The following is a 22536-nucleotide window of genomic DNA, read 5'->3' as shown; positions in this document are numbered from 1 at the left end:
CTTGCAAGCAGAGTAAAATCTAAGATCCTTCACAATTCTTGACATAGATCTTTAGGGAAAACAGACCCCCTCGAATAACTGATAAAATGGTATGAAGATGCTGTTTCAGTAGATTATTGGATTTCCTGAAGCCCATTCACTGACTGCTACAACACTGATGGACCACAGGACAGAAGACGCCTCACTCAGTCAGGGCCTACTGAAAGTCTTTGTGACCTCGTATGAAATAGATGCTGCTTACAAGTGAATAGCAGCAGGATACAGCTTGGTGTTTATCCTTGAAACAACACTTAGTAAATGAAAACAGTTGCAGGAGGGGGAAAGGGTCCAGATCTTGTGAAGTCTAACGTGGTTTGGTTCAACCCAAGTCTAAATACTTGCTGTGGAGGCCTTTCTACAAAAAAATACTATAGCCATCTATAAATCCCAAATTTAAATTCTATTTCAACACTGAGTAGATATTTCCAACTCTGTTTTTTTTTTTTTCTTTTTTTTTGGTTGTTGTTTGGGGTTTTTTGTTGTTGTTTGCTTTTTGTTTGATGATTTGTTTTGAGACAGGGTCTCACTCTGTTGCCCAGGCTGGAGTGCAATGGTATGAACATAACTCACTTCAGCCTCAAACTCCTGGGCTCAAGCAATCCTCCTCCCTCAGCCTCCCAAGTAGCTGGGATTACAGGTGTGCACCATTAAGCCTGGCTAATGTTATTTTTTTGTAGAAACATGGTCTCACCATGTTGCCCAGGCTGGTCTCAAAATCCTGGGCTCAAGTCATTCTCCTGCCTAGGCTGTGATTACAGTGCTGGGATTACAAGCATGAGCCACAGGTATTTCCAATTTTGGTTGACACTACGTATCACTCAATTCTAAATTTCTTCATTGGTGGTAGATTTTTACCACAGTTAGTGACTTTTAACTAGACAGAAAAATATGGTTAGCAATGAAAATATGTACAACACAGGTATTTAACCCAATTCATGACATTTACCCATTTTTATACTCAATGTTGTGATAAAATTAAATTTTTTTTTTCTAAAACAATGTCACTATGAGACATTGTTTCCAGGGGAGGTACTTCAAAGTGTTGACTAATGTATCTATATGCGTGGTATGGGAGACAAGCAAGGGCACACTAAAGGTTTTTCATGTTCTATTAATTGAAAACATGTTTGTTTTGATAGGCTCATTTTAAAAATTCAAATAAAGTTCACCCCTAACTCTGAATTATTCTAATCAGATCATCTTCTAGTACCTAGCCAAAATTAGCTTCAGGAAAACAGAGTTTTGATGAGTGATGAGGGGGAAAAAGGAGTTACGGAAGTCTAGTACACATTATAACATTTTAAAACATTTTCCTAAGTGTCTTCATAATGGAAAAATAGAAAATTACCTTTTGTAGAACTGAGTATTTCTTTGGGGAACAATATTTTATCAGCGGTATATTCAATTATTACTGACAAGAGCTATAACTACATAGTTATAGGGATGAAATACTCTTAATCTACATATGATACATAGAATATATGTATAATCTACACACACATATAGAAATTAAGCAAAAAAGTTAATCATCTTACAAAAATATACATGCAATACCTATTAAGTATCATTAATTGGGAATTTTCCAGAAACCATAAATAAGTGATACCTCTATTTTAAAAGTCATTAATTTACTAGATGTAAGAAATCTTATCCACTCGTAAATCTTCAAATCTGTCTGCACTACAAACCCCAAATCAGTTCACCTTTACAAGTAAAGGAGAAGAATTAGGAGAAAGTGCTTTTTAAAAACAAGGTTAAAAAGAAATAAATAACTGTTGTAGTTTGGGTAACTATCTCACTACAGAAATTTATTCCTCTATAAATGTTTTAGGAACACACAAAATCTTCAGAGATTAGTTATTCCCTTAAGCAGTTGCCTATCCATCAAATATTACATTGTTAACTTCCTTCTTCATTGTATATCATCTAGTTTTCCAATATTTCCAGAGTTCTTCTACTGTCTCAATTGAATTTAAGAAACAAATGTACTTATCTCCAAACATTTTAGTATTTTTCTTTAGTGTTACATTGAGTCTTAGCATCATATGTCACTTTAAAATTTAACTTAAGGCATCCTATTGCTTCCATTGCAAAGTCCTCTGGACACTCTTGAAATAAGATGTTTCCTTTCAAAGATGTTTTCATGAAGAAAAATATTTAACATCCTATATTTTATGGACTGAAATCTATATAACAAGCACCATATTTGACATAAAAAATTTATTTAATCATTTTATAAATATGGAATATTTGTAAATGTTAATGCCATTGGAAAAACAATCTGCCATTTATAATACCTCATCTCATTATTTTATATTATATATCCACATAATTCAAATCACATAATCATAGATTTTTGCAGCTGGAAGTAGGTATTAGCAACTCAGTATGAAAATAAAGAAACTGAGGCTCTGAAAGGTTAAAGAACCTAGGTAGAATACAACTTCCTACAAAGATAATGGAAGACTGACACTGGTGACCAGGATTTATGCCATTCCATGCTGCTGCACTAGTTCCCAAGCAGCAAGTAACCAGTGGTAATTCATAATGTATTGCCCTGACAATCTCGATATCCACGGGCTTCTGTCTTAAGTACACATTTATTACTGAGTAATGGAACTCTTGCTTTTTGCCTGCCCATTGTTGTACACAAAGATTGACACCTTTTGGTGCATCTTGACTTTGAGAGCTCTCTACTAACTTCTGTCCTAGTGTATTTCACTGGCAGTTTAAAAATCCTGATTCAGCAATGTTATGGCAATACTATTACAGCTATCTTTTAAAATACACAAAACCACATTAGCTAGAGGATGGTGTCACTATCGTAAAAAGGGCTATGTCTCAATCATTTGTTTCAGTTGCTATGCAGCCACATCAATACGGCACAGATTAAGGCCTCAGGAAATTCTTAACATTCTGAGGTAAATACAAAGATGTGGGAAGATTATTTCTTTTTGTTAAGATTGTTGTACCTTGCTAGTAGTTGTATCACATCTGAAATGGATGCTGAAATGTAGATATACCTAACTTTTTATAGTTATAAGCTTCCCTATGTTTTATTTTTTAAATGATCCTGATCTTTCTCATCCTAACAGCAATAATATATGCATGTATGAAATTAAACCCTATGGATGAAACCACATGCAAGAGCAGTATAGGTTATGGAAAAATATGCCTTTATAATGCTTCTGTTATCTGTGCTGCTAACTATAACTCTTGCATATATAATTCCATTATACTTTTGTAATTCAGGGCTTTGAAAATGCTTTTGAACCATTAATATATTTTCCTGGTTAAAATTCTTTGAGATGTTCTTAACAAGAGTCTTAGATAATGAATTTGGGCAAACTCTGGAACAGTCTTTACAGTATTATCATTCTCATTAATTTTCAGAACTACCCACTGTGTTGAGATGATTGTCATGGACCTAAGACTTCAATTTGGCTAAATATTTTTGCATATATTTCAACATATAAGTAACTAACGGATGTTTAAATGTTAAGTTCATATGGAAGAAATAGTTAAATGTATTTAATCTCATGATTTCTTTGCCACACTAATTCTTATTTTACTATTTCTTTATGTATTACACTATTTCCTCTATACTTTGGTGTATAATAAACCAAAAATTCCAAAATCTCTTCAAAGAAAACAATCCTTTAAAACATTCTAGAATGTAAGACATCTATGCATATAAAAATTTAATACATGTAGCATAACTAATTTTTTTAAAAAGAATACCTTAAACAGTGATATAATTAGTAATATGAAATAATTATTTTTATAAAATATACAGAGTTCATATAAAGCATAGGGCTGGACTTTTTCCTTTTTTCTTTTTTCTTTTTAACAGAAAAAAATGGTTTCCATTTATATTCTTATTTGGCTTTATCAACCTGATATATGATACTGCCCTAACCTGCCAGTAAAAGATGGGTAGGAGACTAAAAATAATATTACTTTAAGAGAGTTAATGCAGTACACAGTTCCATACTTTCATCTAGTTCATTCTTTTCTCTTTGCTTATTTGGTTATCTCTGAAGACGGCTTCTGTTTCCATTGTTTCATCCTTTAGCATTCACATATCAGAGCAATAAGTATTTCATTACTGGTTTATCTGTCCAGAGGCTTGAGAAGCGGTAACAATTAACCCTCCCTTCACAGTGATTGATACAGGCTTTGCTTTCAATTTGTTCCACTACACAGATCATGAAATTCTGAATGCAATCATCCTCATTGACCTACACTTTCAAACACACAGCTACAATGAGACTAAAGTAATTATTAAAAGGAACACAGGACTACCGAGATCTGAAACAAAGTCTTTTAAAAATCTGTTAGATGACCTTCTGGTAAAAGTGGCAAATTTTGATGCTAAGGAAAATGATAGCTTAGTGTCCCTGTCTGGAAATATTCAATGCAAGCTGATCAATGTATATTATGGTGATTGCATTGGCTGTAGCATGTACTTAGAAAATACAGAAAGCCATTCTAGAACTGTTACAAACACACAGAGTTAAACTGTTAACATTGTGCCTTACCCTGTATAAAATTTTTTCAAAGAAACTAAAGTTCCTGATTTCTGTAAAAAGTAAAATACGCTGACCATAGCGAAGAATTAAAACGGGAAACACAATAATTTTATTGTCTAAGAGTTGCATACCTGAGCCCTACATTTTCCCTCTCCCCGCTCCCTTTAGATGAAGGGTCACAGTAAGAAATGAATACATTTTTCTCAAAGTCTGGAAAAATGGCTTCAAATAAATATTAATCTACCGCAATCGATATATATGAGGAATGGAGAGGGGCTGGTAGGAGAGTGGTGACTACAGAACTATATTAAAACAAAGGTTGCAGTTAAAGAAAATCAGGGCAGAAAGCAAGGCAGCAGGCCTGAGGCTCTAATCACAGAACAGAGTGATGGAGATGAACCAATACTGCATGGATTAGCGATGAATTATTTTGAACCATAATCATATGCCTGCACAGGAGAGAGGCAAAAACTAACCATTGCTCGTAAACTGATGGCTGCTGATTTCCAGAGACAGAAAGAGAGAAGCAAAGAGAGAGAAAAGAATAAATTCATATGCTAAACTAATTCAGAATAATGAAAACCTAAAGATGGGGTTATACTTCAAGTAACATTTTATTTTTAATGTCTGCTACATACTACATAATATGGAGTGTTTTGAATATAAACTGTAAAGTTCTTAGATTCAAACAGGATTAAACCAACCATTTCTTCTAAGATTAGGATGCAATATATCTACTCTACATTCTTCACTGCCCAATAAAACCATTTTTGGACAACTTTGACATCCCCAAAATATAAATTTTTTAAGTATTTATGTATAAAGAAGAAACAGCATTCAAGAAATTAACTTCCTTTGGATAATCTGAAAAATTCATAGCAAATGAAGATTCAATTGTTAAAACTAATTTTGTTAGGAAGAAAAAACTAAAAACTGCTGGTAGCAAGAGATTCCTGAGATTCTTATGAACAGACTGTTTAAATGAAGAGCACTTTAATCAGTAGAGGAATCCTCACGTTTCTAATGTCTTGCTGTGCATTCTGCAGGTTATAGTAGCAGCTGGAAGAGGTCATATATCTCTTGTGAGCATCCCAAAAAGGCTCACTGCCAGACTGTTAAATTATGAATAAGCAATGAACAAAAGAATGCAGATACGGTGGTGACAAGATAATCCAAGCAAATTTATCTATGACAAATTTCACAGGATTAACAAATTACATTTACACAGAACAATAAAAATGTGCAAAAAAAAATGATGAGCCTACTTTGCCTTACAGCATTAGGAAAACAAAAAGTCACCAATCCACTGCATACATTTAAATTTAACTCAATCTAAAGTAAGACATTTATAATGTTCAAGATATCTTTGTAACTTTTTTCCATTTTAGATAGACATACACAAACATGGTATATCTCATACATATTTTATATATAATTTATGTTGTAAACAGTGTATATATATGTGTGTATCATGTGACATATATATGCTGTGTACACTATATACAAAAATCTTGTATAATTAAAAAAATTCATATACCTGAATAGAATATATATGTTTTTAGAAGTGGATTCTGATGAATAAATTATATTTGTAAAGGGAAAATGCCCCTTCCATCAGCACAATACATACTAGTTAATAAAATATCCATATTCATTCATGTCTCCATTTTCTAGGACCAGAGAGAGAAGTTCTGCAAACAATTTCAATCATTCCACTTGCCACCATTGAAATACTGCCATCTTTCTGAGCTAAAGTGCTTCTGAATGAAGTTTAGAGCTAGCATCCTTTTCCGCAGTGTTACTGTAGCAGAAAGGAAAAATCAGAGATTTGGGGAAGAGAGTGTTAATTATAGCTATATTCACACTTATATTGACCCTTAATCCAATATTAATTTTTCTTTATAAGAAAATTATTTTTATAAATCTTACAAATGAAAATGCCCTAGTTCATCAGATATAATGAAATATTATTGAAATGACCTATAAGTTTATAAAGTGGTCTTAAAATGCTGTGGGACACTACTTTCCAAAATATGCAATTAAGATTTGTAAGTTTAATGTTTTACACTAGGTACCCAACTCACAGCCCTTTAATTCTGCATTAGCATACTGATGATAATATAATAATGTAATCAGATGTAATCTCTTTTAAGATGATCTGATGGTGGTTAAAAATTTTGTAGTCTATTTTTCACTTATACTTCCTATTGACTTTTGTTTTTTATCTTCAATATTTCAGTAAAATATCCCTTTAAATTTTAAGTCCTTTGCAACTTAAAAGGCAACTTATCCTTTCATAAACAAGATATTTGCTGAATGTAAAAAATGAATCCAATACACAAGCGAATTATCTTGCAATCACAAATACTCAAGCACTTCTTATCTAGTCCTTTTAAGCCCGAAATTTCTATTATACCTATTATTTTTAAAGAAGCTATTTAGTTGACAATATTACATCCAAAAACGTAAAGATAAATGTGGCATGTTTGTCTGCTACTGAGATCTTGCATATATTCTGCAATGAACACCCACATCACACGCTACAAAGTTTCCTAAAGTACAGCTTTTGTTAAAGAACTGTTATGTATCAGACCAACCCTAGGGTTCCTGGCATAGAGGAAAAAAAGTTACCAAAGGCTAACTTTCCCTTCTTGAAGATGACTCTGTGTGTGTGTGTGTGTGTGTGTGTGTGTGTGTGTGTGCGCGTGTGTGTGTGTTGGGGGGATGGGGGAGTAAATAACTTACCATTTATGTATTTATTGTGGCCCATTTTAACATGTCATGTTTTTAATTAAATGAGTGAATGCATGTAAAGCTCTCAGAAGAGTACCTGTTTATTAGCACACGATGCTATATAAATGCTTGCTGCCATTATTATAATGCCAGATAATTTGGCAGGAGGCCAACTTGTACAAATCCTTACAAATTTCAAAAGACAATGTCCAGAAATACAGTTAGGTACTAAAATGAGTTATTCAGAAAGCCTTATGAGACAGTTTTTACACAACCAGTGGCAAAACTATCACAAAATAAAAATGCTTCAACTATAATCTTTAGAGAAACTTGTGGCACACTCTGAGCCATGAATTATATGAGCAGAAGAGGGCCTTGAGAACTTCATATGCTGTGACCAAAGAGGCAGATGTACGTGGCAAACTGATTCTTCTGGCACCACTCAGCTACAAATCTGCCCTGAAGTATGTATAGTTATGGAGCTTGCCCACAAAACTACTGGGATAGTAAAGGGTGAGGTAACGATGCTTTCAATATTGATTCTTTCTCTAATTTCATAAACACTGTATTTCTCCAAACATCTGATGAAGGACCAAAACAGAGGGCTATCGTTCACTACCCATAGTGAACTGGTCTTTCTGCCATTGGAACTCTCTGATATTGGCTCGGAAATCTCTGAGTTTGGAAAGTCTGAAAACGCAGGCCCTTCCACACTGGTGTTAAGGTACATTTCTACAAAGACTGTACTGCCTAAGTTCACCTGAGAGACAAACCTGAATTCAGTCTCTATCACCTTCCTTGGGAATGCTAAACCTCTATTTTCTCATGCATAAATGGGGATATTAGCACTTCCCTCATAGGTCAGTGGGGAAACTAAAGAGAAAATTATTGTGAAGCATGTAATATAGTGTCTGAAACATGGCAGTGTCCAATGTTTATATTATTATATAATCATCATCGTATATAACCTATTTTTATTTTTAAATCCCATCAAAATAACTTTTATAAAATTTACTACAATTTCACTTCAATTTATACAGTATCTTTTCTCTCTCTGTCCTCCAGGAGCCTCTAATCACTTTGTAGTCACTAATTACAATATTTTACAAGTTGAATAACTATCCTCACAGAACACTAAGCTAACAGAAGTGAAAAAAGAAAGCCTTATATTTCTATGAATTCATTACTTCTTACTCTTTTAGAAAAGGGTATCTTCTGGCTCTCTATAATATTTTGTATAACCAATAGAAGGGCAAGCCTACAACCAAAGCAACTGCTCTTACAAGGTATATATTTAGTACTGTACCTGGCACGCATAACCACGGTCCATGGTAGAGGTTCAATAAATGAAGCTGAATGAAAGAACCAGTCAATCATTACAGTCTAGGGCCAGGAGAACTGTGGGCCATAGTAACATAAGATCTTCATCTTGCTTCCCCTGATTTCACATACAAGACCACAGTATTTCAATTAATTCACCAAGACGTGATGTTTTACAAATGTATACAGAAAACTTCAACTATTGTTTAATGTTGTCACTGCCCTAGTCATTTCAGATACAGTAGCAGTTACTTTATTCTTACTAAGCCATGTCCTGTTTATGCATTGTAGTATTACTAATATTACTACACATTCTTCTAACTATTCTATCAAACTTAATAGTGCAAACATCCTATTCACACTAATGAGGCTCAGCGCAGTAAAAATACCATTCAGTTACAGTTGGTTTATTACACTGACCAATGAGGGGGGAAAAAAGGCCACTATTTACTGGGAAAATACTAACATCACCGAATGCAAACAATTGGATTTTCTGATAAATTCTAGTTCTTACTAATCATAGATATATTTAAAGTTTCACATATTCCATTATGTGCAATTTTGATAGCATTTAAAATTTAAAGAATAATATTTAATCAAGTAAAATTTAACATACTAACTTATTTACTAAGTTTCAGCCTTATTCATCCTAAGCAATTAAAGACACGTCTATAAAACACCTGAAGTTAGACTGTAGCCCAAATACAATGCAGAACTTTAAAAAATCAATTAGAATGATTAAATGTTATACGCAGAAAAAGTGACTGTGTAAACATAGCATGGAGGTGGCAGGAGCTACCTCTGCTTTCATGAGTGTTAATTTTCTTTAAATTTAGTGACATTTTGCATAAGACATAGGTTTACTAGAATTGTAGAAAAACAAAAACAGATTAAGGTTACATTAGGGTCATTATTAATAGTAAAGCACTTAAGGAAGTTAGTAGAGGAAAGCATTAAAAGGATTTTGAAACTTTTGTAATATATTCTCCATAAATATCCCCAAATAAAGGCCAGGCACAGTGGCTCACGCCTGTAATCCCAGCACTTTGGGAGGCTGAGGCAGGCAGATCACCTGAGGTCAGGAGTTTGAGACCAGCCTGGCCAACATGGTGAAACCCCTATCTCTACTAAAAATACAAAAATTAGCTGGGCGTATTGGCATGTGCCTGTAGTCCCAGCTATTTGGAAGGCTGAGACAGGAGAATCATTTGAAGGCAGAGGTTGCAGTGAGCTGAGATTGTGCCACTGCACTCCAGCATGCCTGGGCAACAGAGCAAGACTCTGTCTAAAAAAAAAAAAAAAAAGAAAAAGAAAAGAAATAAAGAAACAAAAAAGAAATCCCCAAATATGAAGACCTACTGCTTAAGAAAATAAATAATGCTTCCCCAAAAGTGTTGCTTTACAGAAGCCATAGAAAACCTCACCACAGAGCAGGGGATCCTAGCAGCAGGTCCTACTTCAAACAGACACAATTGTAACATAGCACTGAATCCCAGACCAGGATCTGGGGCAGGGAAGAGGAGTAAGGTGGTTCATAAGTATTCTGGCCTTCTCATAAAATAGCTATATTATAGTATAGGGCCAGCCATTGGGTAGAAGAATTACAGGGGAAGATCAAAATTCATATGACTAAAATTATCAAACTGCTCCAATTTCTGGATTATATTTGAAGTACAGTATAAGTCTTACCAATTGATTGCTGAGATATTAATTACACATCACTTTTAGCCATATTTTTAAGACTATATAAAGACACAGAAACCAAAACCTTACTAATAACACTACTAGGTGAAAACACCTCATGTAACTTTAAAAAAAAAAAAGTATCGAATAATGTTGAATTCAAGTTTGCTCATTTGCTCACTGTAAGGAATCAAATCTAGTGATTGGCATATTGCACATGTGGAGTAGTTATATGTCTTTCAATTCATAAATCAGAAATTGGAAATCTGAAAAGATGTTGTAATGAGGGAGGGTCTTACATAATAAAGGTCATTATAACTCCTGGCTCTGGAGCTATACGATCTAATATCCTCTCTGGTGGATCATGATATGCCCATGCATTACAGTTCTTGTTGACAGTCTGTTGCCTTGGAAATATTTCATTATTTCAGTTTTTCCATTTGTAGACCCTTGGCCTTGTGATATGAAGGCCATCCTATTTCATATTTTCGATTATCATTTAAGCAATCTTGTGGAGCTATTTATATATATAAGCAAGTGTTAGACAATGCATATAATCATTTATCACCCCTATTTAAGCTTATACTGTAGATAGAAATACCTCCAAAAACCAGTCTCCACCACCTTTACTTTTTAAACCAAAAGCCTTGTGCTACTGGGATACGCTTTGCAAATCAGCATGGGCATATCACATGCTTGACACTTCTCTCTGTCTAATTTTTTTGGTTATACATCCACATAGTAGAAAAACTTTGTGGTAGTGCTATATAATTTGCAGTCTATTGGCGTTTAAAGAAAATCAAACAAGTTTATGTACACAAGGTTTTCAACTTGTTCTTTCAGGCTCTAAAGAGACACTTTCTGTATATGTAATTCAGAGAAATGTAAGGAGCACTAAATAGTAACCAAAGACATTATCAAGAACGAGCTTATTTTTCTGAAATTTACATTATAAACATTACTATAAGGAAATGACTTTGGTACTGTATTACTATACACAGGTTAGACATTTCATAAATAAATGAGACAATTCAAAAGATATATTTTTCTCTGTAAGTTTCAGATTACTAATATATTTGAAAAGCAGTAAAGAATAAACTGTCCATAAATGCCTCTGTGAAATCAATGATTTTGAAAACATTTTTTTAAATAAATAGGAGGATACCATTTAAAACATATCCACAGAAAGTCATCTTTTATAAACATATTTGTGTTCAACTGCTACAAGGAAATACTTGTTAACCAACAAGTTCTAGGCACAATGTGCAAATAAAGGTGGAATTACTCACTTACTTGAAGCAAGTATGAAAAACAGCCCCCTCCTAAACAAATCATCTGATTTCCCATTTCTCATTACAAAGCCAAATCAACTTACATGTGTAATGTTTACACTTAAAGTGTTAAGAGCATTTAAAACCCTGACAACAAAGTGAACCCTTGGGGCATAAAACAACTGTTTGGATAAGGGACCAAGTTTGCGGTTGTTGCCTTTTGAAAGGTTTAGTTTATAACTCCTTCCTTCCTATCTTCCACAGTGCTCCTGCCCCCACCCCGCTGTTATTACTCCTCCTTCTCCATACAGGTTAAACCTTCTCAGATCCAACCTTTAAAATGACAGCATCCAAGCTGAACAAGAAGATGCTATTAAAGGGCATTAAATTAAATACAGTATATCCTCCTACAACTTCAATCAGAATTTCAGACCAAGTGTTATTTAGTTCAGCTCTCAAGTGGAGCAGAATAACAAATCGCACACTTTGATTTACCTTCTTCGAATGCCAAATGGAGACAGGTGATAAAGAACGCACTCATGCACAGGCTATGAAGTTTCCCCTAGAAATTAATTCTATCTCCGAGATTCTTATCTCAGAGAAATTCCTAAAATGGCACACGAATAGGCCTTTGCTAGAGAGATTACTGGGGCCATCCCAGTAAACATATTTATTAACAACAGAACTGGGAAGAAGGAAGGAAGGAAGGAAGGAAGGAAGGAAGGAAGGAAGGAGGGAGGGAGGGAGGGAGGGAGGGAGGGAGGGAGGAGGGGAGGGGAAGGAGGGAGGAGGGGAAAGGAGGGAGGAGGGGAAGGGAGGGAGGGAGGAGGGAAGGGGAGGGGAGGGGAGGGGGAAGAAAACCAATTATAAACCTCAGATTTCAAAAAGTATTCATCTTCATGTTAGATAAAAAATAATTTTTAAAATCCTTGCACAATGCTCTGAGAAATTATTTTTTCTACTACAAGAGTAAAGTGTGAATTCTTCATGAAACACTGATACTTCTTAAGAAGTAAATACTCATTTTAGCTGTATGAGTTGTCAGATTTTCTACAGTTTGGGAGCAATAGTTAATGCTATACACATTTAACATCTTTAAAAACTGGATTATGTATGATTTACTCTCTGATATATGATGTTTACAGAATCATCTAGAGTTCAGAATTAGTCAATTATGTATCTACTTAACAAAAGTATTTCCTTAATCCTGACAATTGTGCCTTCCCTATCGTATGAAAGAAATAAGCAACAGTACAATAGAAGCCTTTTAAATGAATGGATGTCTGAATATCCCCTTATCGTCTTCTGATGTAAGCTATAGGTTAAATATTATGTTGCATCAAAAATAAAACTATGTTATAATAATTAAATCTTGCAACTAAGCACATCCTTTGTCTTCTTTTCAAGTTCACTTAAGCCTGTGAGGAAAATCAACGCGCCTGCTGCGGGTGGGGGTGCATATATCTTACTGTATTTGTTTTCCTCATGAATCAGTGGGTGACGTTTCATACTTCCTACTGCGCCTTTCCTCTTCGGAGACAGAAAGAGATATCCACTTTGCTCAAACCAATATGCTATATGCAATTAATGTCATTAACGTTGCCAATTAATAGTAAATAGGATTCCAAAGAAAGTAGGCTGGGTGGACAGCAGGAGGGAAAACCACGTTGGTGGTGATGGGGAGGGGGTGCTGAGTTACTCTGAAAATCTATCAATGCTACTCACGTAGAACAGTTACGGGTATTTTGAACACAAACTCCCTTTCCCTGTGGCTGTACTAGTTTAACTAACTTCAAATAGACATGCTCGACTGAGCCCCTTGCTTGGATATGCAATTCTCACCAGGAACTTTTTAAAACACAGATCCCCAAACAGTAACTAACGGGGCATAGATGCTCCAACTGCTGACACATTTTGGATCTCGCTGTTTGTTTGCTTATTTGGATTTGAGGGTTTTCTTCTTTATTTTTCTTTTTCCTTTGGGAGGGGTATGGAGAGGAGGGGAAGATGAGAGCGGAGGGCAGAGCGGGAGACCCACAAGTTGCCGAGCGGAGGGCGCAGCCCGGGAGGCAGGGAGGCGGCGGCCGCGCTCCTCTGGGCTCGGCCCGGCCTAGCTGCTCGCGCGGAGACGGAGCCGGCCCCTCCGCGACACATTCCGGGCCTGGCGCGAGCTCCGCGCTCCCCGCCCCCGGCCTCCTCCTCCTGCTCCTCGCCTCCTCCCCCTGCTCGCCGCCTTCCCTCCCCCTCCCCAGCCTCATTCCCTTCCTCGAGAGCAGCTGCTAGGGGACCTGCGGCGGCCCCGGGGATCCCCGGCCCCCCACCCTCGCTGCTGCTCCCGTCACACGGCAGCGCCTTCGCATCTGTTTGTTTCTTTTTCTTTTTCTCTTTTCTGTTTCTTTCTTCTTTTTTTTTTTTTTTTTGTCAGTGAGTCACTCTATTCGCCGAGCCGAGGAGGTGCGACTGCTCAGAGAGCCCGGCCGCCGCCAGAGCCTCTCGCTGCCGCAGCCGCCGCGGGGACAATGCGCGGGGCCCCGGGCGAGCGCTGCGCCCAGACGAGGTCCCCGCGGGCTCGCGGCCCAGGAGGCGGGCGGGCTGCGGAGAGGGGCCCTCGGCGGCGGAGGCGGCGGCGGCGGGAGCAGCGGCCCGGCGGCAGGTTCAATAAACAGAAAAGTGTTACCGTTCTCGCCTGGAAGGATCCTGCTGAAAGCTGGGCTTGGTGGGCGCCATCTTCCTGCTATTTTTTTTCCTCTCTTACTTTTTGCCTCTCTCCCCCCTCCCGGGTGGGGGGCGTGGGCGGGCGGGGGTGTGCGTGTGCGTGGGGTGGCGGGAGAGTGCGGCCGTGCGCGGCGCTCTGGGCTGCCCGGCGGGCGGTGGCCGGGGCCGGGGCCGTGGCCGTGGCCGTGGCGGCGGCGGCGGCGGCGGCGGCGGCCGTGCTGCTGAGGTGGGGAGGCTACGGAAAAGTAGTGGGGCCGGAGCCTCGCGGGCGGCCGGCCGTCCCCTCGCGCCGCCGGTGCTCCCAGCCGTGGGTCGCCGCTTCCGCCGCCGCCTGCGCCTTCTCCTCCCGCTGCTCGCCCGGCGCCGCCGCCGTCCATGCGCCGCAGAGCGCCCGCGGCCCGGGCCGCCCCGGCTCCCGAGGCATGCCCGGCGCGGAGACAGGCGACCGGCGGCGGCGGCGGAGGAGGAGGAGGGGGAGGCGGCGGCGGCGGCGGGGGGAGGCGGCCGCGCGGTCCCGCGGGCAGCCCGGCCCAGGGCCCCGCCGCCTCCGGGTTCTCACCCCCGCGCCGCCACCCGCCCCCGCCCCCGTCCCCCGTCACCCCTTTCTACCACCCGGAGCAGCCCGGTGGCAGGTGGGGCGCACACCCTCCCTGCGGGGGGCGCGGGGTCTAGGCCGGGAGGAGCGGGAAGGGGGAGGACACGCGGGGGGTTCCAGCTTGACCGCTGTGAAAGTATTTCTGGGCATTTTCCAGCTGCTTTGCTCCAGAGCGCTCTCTCGTACGCAGACACACACCTCCCCCCCCTTCTCTCTCTCTCTCTCTCTCTCTCTCTCTCTCTCTCTCAATTTCTCTCTCTCTCTCTCTCTCTCTCTTTCTCGTTGGGGGACTGGGAGGCTCGGCTGCCGGCGCAACAACGCCACTCAGTTGCAGTTTCAAACACTTCCCTTCTCTGGAGTATTGCAGCCAGGAGGAAAGAAAGAAACAGAAAAAGGAACTGGGAGGCCACAGGAGCGAGCTGGGGCAGGACACAGTCCCGGGAGCTCCTTGGGGGCAGCGGAAATCAATACGGATGGGGGGTGCGCTGGCCCAAGCAGATGGGCCCAAGAGCCCCGTGGGCGGTGCAGCAGCAGCACAAGCACCTTGTGGCTCTGGCGCTCTCAGCAGCGTTCCCAAAGCCGGAGCATCTGCATCAGTCACGGACGTACAGGAGTGCAGACCCCAGGGTTCACAGGTGAATCCCCGCGCGTTTAAACTCACATACAGAAGCCCCTCCCGACTCGGGTCCCGGGACTTGGGACCGGACTGCCACCCTCTGGGATCTAGCCCAGCCGCACCCCGGTTTGACAGTTCAGCAAGGCCTAGAGAAAGGCTGGCTACTCAGTGCAGGGCCCGGGCTAGAATCCTGTTACCTGGGTAGACCCTGGTCAGAGCGTTTTCTCCACTAAACCAATCAGAAGCGTGTGGACAGCTTTTTACGCAGAGACTTGGGTCAGTCATGTGTCAACCAGGCAAGTAGAAAGGACTCCCAAAGCATTTCCACTTTGAATGAATGAAAGCGCCTGATGGAAAACATCAGTCCTGTGTGAGGTTCTGCATTTGACTTTAAGCTTAAGAAAAAAATAAAGACCTGAAAAGGGGTCCTCCATTCGGTCTCTACGACTCCAGTAAAGTAGGGCTGGGAGTTGGAAACTTCCAAAGGAACACATAAATGTTTTTCGTGGTAGAGGTGTTTAATCTGCATGATGGTGTTTAAGTTCTCTTTGGAGTACACTCTACAGGTAGGAGAGAATGAGAAATGAACTGGAGTGGAGAGTGTTATGGACAAGATATACATGGGCTGGCAGAGAAGGGAAAAAGTTGCCAGTTCAAAGTTTTGGCTCCAGGACACCCAGTCTAGGGGGTTTCTGCCCGAAGATGACAAATGAGAGAAGCTTGTAGTCTCCCAAGAGGCCACTCTTTGCTTGAAAAACCCCCCACTCCTGTCACTCCCGCGGCGGACTCCTCAAAAGTACTTAAAAATAATTTTTTGGTAAAATGATATGTCACCATTCACTTAACAAACAAATCCAGATGGAAACAAATCCAAGCGGAAACTAAGTCTGTCCTTCAGAACCCCACAATCCTGTTGAGGTGCCAGAGGACAGGGGACTCCTGACTCAGACCCTACCTCCAACACCTGCCAATGACCTTGACCTACACGGCTCACTCTCTGCCCCCCTCCCCCTATTTTGACTAAAAGACAGTAACAGGTGTCATCATGTCTTAGTAACAAAATCAAAGAAGGCTACATTTTTCACAGCTATCATCTTCTCTTCTGCCAATATAACATAAAAATCGAAGGAGGGAATAATACACCCCAAAGGCTAAAGTTTAGAGATGCTAGAAAAAAAAAAAAAAAAGCCTTAGTCTTTAGAACTGCAGTGGGATTCAGAGACTTCATAAGGTGCCCAAATTCAAAGTTGAAAGTGGAAAGCACCAGTGCAGCTCTCAGTGCTGAGGTGGCAGACTGTAGGGGACTGCCCCTGGTGCTCCTGCCTTGAGGGAAAATTCTCTCTGAGGTGATCTTTATGGTAAAGGATAACAACACTCAGAGCAAACCTGATGGCAGAAAATTCCTAATCCCCCACCCTTTTATGCCCAATTTATATGGTATAAGTTAGCTCAAGTTCCCGGAGGTCCCTGAAATCTTCCAAAGGCCATCTGACATTTCTGACCCTTGACTCCCTACTTCACAGACCATACTATTGTGACCATTGCCTGCACTTCCTAGTTAAAGTGACCGCCAGATACTATTGTCATTTAAATGTTGTATAAGTGACCAAAAAAACATACCTGAACCATGAAAAGGAAAAATCTAATTCTTTTCTAGTCTTTCATGTTTGAAAGAGTCCCAGATCTTTTGTATTAAAGATTCCTGTAATCACTGAAGTAAAACAAGACTAAAATAATTTAAATCAAAAATCCCTTTGACAAGGAATAGCCCCTTTTTGAGTTATTTTCCAAACTCTTTAAAAAAAAAAAAAAACTTCAGACAGTACACAGAGCATATAATGAAGTCTTCTACAGAATATTTGGAATACTGGACATCAACTTGGAAAACACTCAGTGTGTTATGCAAAATCTGCTCTGGTCACTGGGCCATTGCTTGGAAGGCACAAAATATGGCAGTGATAGATTATCTTAACCTTTTCAGTTTAAATACTGTTGGTTCAAATCAAAGGTTCTCAAATCAATGAAGTTTGAAATACAAGGTAAAAATAGGAACTGTTATTTGAATTATGCATTGTGTATATTTTAAGTTAAATGCCATTGGCAAATCTCTCAGATGTTTAATCATGTGCAATCTGGGAAACACAAATATTTAATTTCACACTTTCATGTGTTCTTTTTTCTTCCATCTTTTATAAAACCAAGCCCCACAAATGGGGAGTTTACCTTTCATAGTACATTGTTAGTTTTTCTCAGCGCATTTTCGTGGATTACATTTTCAGTAAAATCTTGGAACATCAAAAGTTGTCCTTCAGGAAAAACTTCAGGGTTCTAAAGCTGTTGGTAGTGGTAAATTGCTTTCCCTTTCTTTCCTTATTGAATCAAATTACTATTTCAATGTCAAATACGTAATTTTTAAGAAAAATCTATAAATACGTTTAAGAGAACTACAAATAATACTTTAAAACTTCCTTCTCACCACCTAGCCTGACTTTGTAAAATTTGCTTCCTAACTTGTATCCCTGAATCTTATGCATTTGCATTATAATGCGTTTAAGATGAATACTTAACAGCGCCGAAGAGACTCGGATTTCATGCTGTATTTCCCTGTAGTAACAGGTGACATGATAACACTATTATGTAGAATTGCAAGTTTACAGCTACACATGAAAATCGTTCCTATTCTGTTTGGAAACAAATGATCAATCAGCCTCCAGTGATCAATTGCCCCCCTAGCTGTCCGTATGCGCGGGTCCGCATCCGGCTGAGGCATTGAGAAAATTCCACTGGAAAGGGATGAGGATCCTAAACTTTGCAAAAGCACCTTGTGCGGCGTCTCAGACTTCGCTGCAACTCCTCCGCTACTCGGGGCTGAAGCTCTGGATTTGGGGCCAGGCAAAGGGCAAAGGATGATTTCACTTCGCCAGCGCACTGGAGTGCTTTTCAATCCACCAAAGTGAAGTGTGTTTTTCTTCCTCATCTGTAGAACGAGGGGCAGGCAAAGTGAGCCCTGGCAATGTGCATGTGTGTTGTAAGACACAAAACAGGAGGCAAAGTGAGTCCCACCCCAGCACCCCGGGGCGGGGGCACTATCCCAGCCCAGGCGGGACTACTCACCGCTGCTGGTAGGAGGTGATGCCCTGGACGTTCTGCGGGGTGCCGTTGGCCGCGGCGCCGGCCCTCCCCATGCCCGCGCCGGCCGGCACCCCCGCGGCCGCCCCGCCGGCCGCCGCGGCCGTCACCTGCACGCTGAAATCCGGAAAGATTCGGATCATCGCCGCGGCTTCGGCCCCCGGGCGCGGCGGCTCTGGGCTCTGGCTGGCGGGGGCTCGGGCTCGGGCTCGGGCGGCGGCAGCAGCAGCAGCGCGAGCAGCGGCGGCGGCAGCAGCGGAGCCAGGCACCAGCCTGCAATCCCATTAGTGAGCCGCGGCCACTGTGCGCGGCGGAGAGGAGCTTTGATGTGCGCGCAGCGGGCTGGGGGTGGGGGGGGCCGCAAGCGCGAGGAGGAGGTGCGGGGGGCGTGCGAGGGACTTGCAAACAGCAAAACGTGTCAGGGTGGGGCCTTTTTTCCCTTTTGGGGGGCGGCGGTGCTCCCCCCTCTTTCCAGGATGTTGCTCTCACTGGCTGCTCCGGCTGCGCCGCGCGAGCCCAGCTGAGGGAAGAAGGGGAGGGGGTGGCGGAGGAAGGATGCACCGGGAGGCTTGGCGAGGACTTGGCCGGTGCAAGGGAATGACCGGCAGCGGAGGGTGCGTTTCTTTCCCGCCCCCCTCTACACACACACACACACACACACACACACACGCCGCGCACTTCCGACCCAAAGTGCAAGACTCAGGCGCGCTCTCTCTCTCCTCCTTTCTCTAGAGAAATAACCACCATCCAGGCAAGCTCGCGCCTCCCGCGGCTTCCAGCAACCTGGAAGCCAGCCCGCGTGTGCAGGAATGGGGACGTAGAGCCTCCCTTCCTGGCCGGAACCCCTCTCTGCCCGTCTTATGCACATCAGGCAGCGCGAGGGCTGCCAAGCGCAAGTTGGGCTCCTCGAGAACTTGATACTTATCGAGGAGGGATGGTGTGCAAAGACGGAGAGAAAAAAAGAAGCCGCTTTTGTGCAATGGAGAGTTTGTTCTCCTTATAAGAATGGGCCCTTCCCTCTGCTGGTGGGCGGGCGGGTTGGTCCAGGACAAACTTGTGAGGTGAGGTCCGGTTAGAGGGATCCGGTTGTGCCCCGCTGACCCACCTCTATACGCCCCTTTCGACCGATGAAACGAATAAATTAGCAGCCACCACTGAGACGAACTCTGCAAATTCCAACCACCAGGGAAACAAAAAGAGAAAACACGTGCATTTATTTCCTCGCGTCTCTCAGTTACTTCTCCACACTATTACATCAATGTTTCTTTAAGGGGTGAGGAGGTATGCCTGCGGTTTGGGTGAGCCTTTTTAAGTGACGACTTGCATTCCAACTCGACTAGTGGGTGGGGGCAGTGGGAGTTGATCGTTTCCCCTACCCCTGCCCAGGACCCCCGTTGTCCCACTTCCTCCTCTTTCTTCCGGCTGGCGAGCCTGGAGTGGAGTTGCGGGCGGTGGGCGCAGCCTCCTTCGGGATGCAGGGCTTCAGCTCCCCTCATCTTGCGCGCGCCACCCTCGCCCCCTTTGCTGGTGCGGCTGGTGCTTGCCCCTTCTCGTCCTTTTCTCCTTCCCACTCCCTGCGCGCCAAGGCCTGGGCCCCGCAGCCGCAGCCAGGGGACGAGTGGCCGCCTTGCCTTCCGCAGGAACCCAAGTTGGGATCGGCGAAGCGTGGTGACCGCGGCCGCGCCGCCCCAGCCCTCGGCCAATAGCGCCTCGCCCGGAGAGGCACCTGCTTAACCCTTTGAGCCTAGGGCGCAGCCGGCCCGCCGGGACCCAGAGGGGCAGGGCGGATTGGCCAGAAGTTGCCAAGGCCAAGAGTGACACAGGCCGCCCAGCCTAGCGTCCCCGCACACGGTGTAGGGGCCAGACGCCTGCCCTTGCCGCAGACCCGGGCGTCCCCTCCCACCCTGATGGCTCTCGGGAAACAGCCAACCCGCACAAAGACGAGCCTTCGCCCTGGCGGCGTCCCGCGCCTGCTGGGGCAACCTCTGAACTCCCCTAACCCAAGTCAGTTTCCGGAGGCGCCTCCTGCACCCGGCAGCCGCTGGGAAACAGAGGGAGGGAGCCCCAGCTCTCGCTGGCCGGGCCCACGGCGCAGCTGCGTTTCCATTTTCCTTTCAAAGAAAATGCTTTGGACGGCAGATAATACCAGGAGATATGAAACTGCTTCGTCCCCCACGTGTTGCACGTAAAAAGAATCGTAATGAGCATCTGTGCCTTGTGTGAGGGATCCCACGAGTTTGTTGAAGACCTAACCGAGGTCCTGACTCCCTCCTTCCCGAGAAGAGATCATTTTCTAGCTTAACGGCATTCATTTCGGAGATACTTATTGTGCAGAGGCCAAACGCAAGGTCTTTGGGCCGGGATTGTGGGCGTGGGGGCGAAGGCCAGGCTGGTGGGAAAGATTTGATCACAGAAGTGGGTCCTCATCCCACGCGGAGCACACAGCGCTGGGCGTCGCAGGTTGACTTGGATCTCAGCGCGCTCTCCTCCCTACCTCTCTTGCTCTGAAAAGATCACAAATATCACTCCTTGGCTCTCCGCAGGCTTTCTCAGGGCGAGAAATGGGAGTTTATGTCAATTCGAGAGAGGTCAGGAATGTTTTAGGGGTTGGGAAAAGTTTCTTTCTCTGACTGCATTGGTCAAGGCCGGCGGTATTGTAGGCCAAAGGAAGTCTAGTATGTAAATGACTCATGAATGAGGCTAAAAATGAACCCCAATGCAGGCGGTGCCTTTCTATAAAATAGCTTTTGTTTTAATTGTTGCCCCACTGTGGGGTGGTGCTGTGCCTGCCACAGAAGTCTAGGCCAACCAGTTGATGGAGGCTTCCAGCAAGTGGCTCCTGGATCCATGTGTACTCCAGGAATGTAATGCAATACTCCACCTTGATCCTGTGCATCCAGAGGCAGCCTCAATGTGCCAAGTGAGTCAAAGGAGGGAAAAGCCGTCTGTGGCCAAAAGTGCAGAACTTTTAGAAGATTAGTTTCCCTTTTAAAGTCTTTCTGCACAGTCAACAATGAGTTATATTTACAAAGAATATTATTGCTCTTCTTTGTTTCAATACCAATTCTATGACTAGAAGAGGCCAGCAATTACATTTTATTCACTACTTATTTTACAAAATCGTTGGCTTGAAAATGTATCAGCCTGATTCCCATCACTTTTGGAGGGCAATTTTTTCTTGGAAGCCCAAAGGGCAAAATTGCCCCAATGGAAAGAAAATGTGAGATTTGTTGTTGGACATTTAAAACTACATAAGCTGAAGCCTTTTCAATTATACTTTGTTATTAAAATAGTTTAATGAGCACATTCAACTTCAAAGTTCCAAGCTTTCAATTACCCATCTTTACGAGAATTAATATGGCTCCTGCCCTCCAGAAACTTTGTTTTCTAAAACAGGAATACACAAAATACTCAAAGAAGATTTGCATAGTAGGTTACCTTACAACGCAATGTTAAGTCTGTTTCAGTATTTTATCCTTACATGTGTAGTTTCAGAAGGTCGGTTTGCATGCATGAGAGACGAATTCCTTATTGGATCTGCTTATCTCCATGTTCATTAAGGACCTTAAGCAAAATATAAGTTTATTCTCTCATTAGTAATTCAGATTTCATTACTCTGCTCCTTCAGTTAAAATCTTTACATGCTGGCAGCTGTTTTGAAATATTTTGAAAGTTGCTTTGGCATTCACCCAACCAAAAGGACTCCAGTTAGCACTAAACTGTATACTCTCTCATTTTATACCCCTGCAACATATAAATTTCAGTGCGTGTAGAGACTTGGAAAAGGATTATTTGATGTTTTAACCCCAAATACATGCATATGATATATAGATACACAGTTACATATTTATATCTTTATCCTTGTCAGTGTACAACTGTGCCTTTTACTCATACAATACTAAT

The 22536-nt window shown here is 42.2% G+C and overlaps 1 protein-coding gene across 17 annotated transcripts in view; it reads right to left on the bottom strand.

Annotated features, from left to right (window-relative positions):
* Positions 1-18837, bottom strand: part of NPAS3 (neuronal PAS domain protein 3) — an 869389-nt gene extending 850552 nt beyond the window's left edge. For 8 of the 17 annotated variants that reach the window (XM_011537067.3, NM_001164749.2, XM_047431680.1 and 5 more), the window contains exon 1: positions 14256-14743. In XM_011537067.3, the coding sequence (XP_011535369.1) occupies positions 14256-14305 (50 nt within the window). In that variant the 5' untranslated portion in view covers positions 14306-14743. Of the gene's footprint in view, positions 1-14255; positions 14744-18618 lie in introns of those variants that run through there. The other 9 variants (XM_017021582.2, XM_017021583.2, XM_047431678.1 and 6 more) reach the window with 3 other exon arrangements.

This window comes from Homo sapiens, chromosome 14 (genome assembly GCF_000001405.40).
Source record: "Homo sapiens chromosome 14, GRCh38.p14 Primary Assembly".
Lineage (NCBI taxonomy): Eukaryota > Metazoa > Chordata > Mammalia > Primates > Hominidae > Homo > Homo sapiens.
Note: the sequence above shows the minus strand (reverse complement) of the source record. Positions and strands in the feature narration are given on the sequence as shown.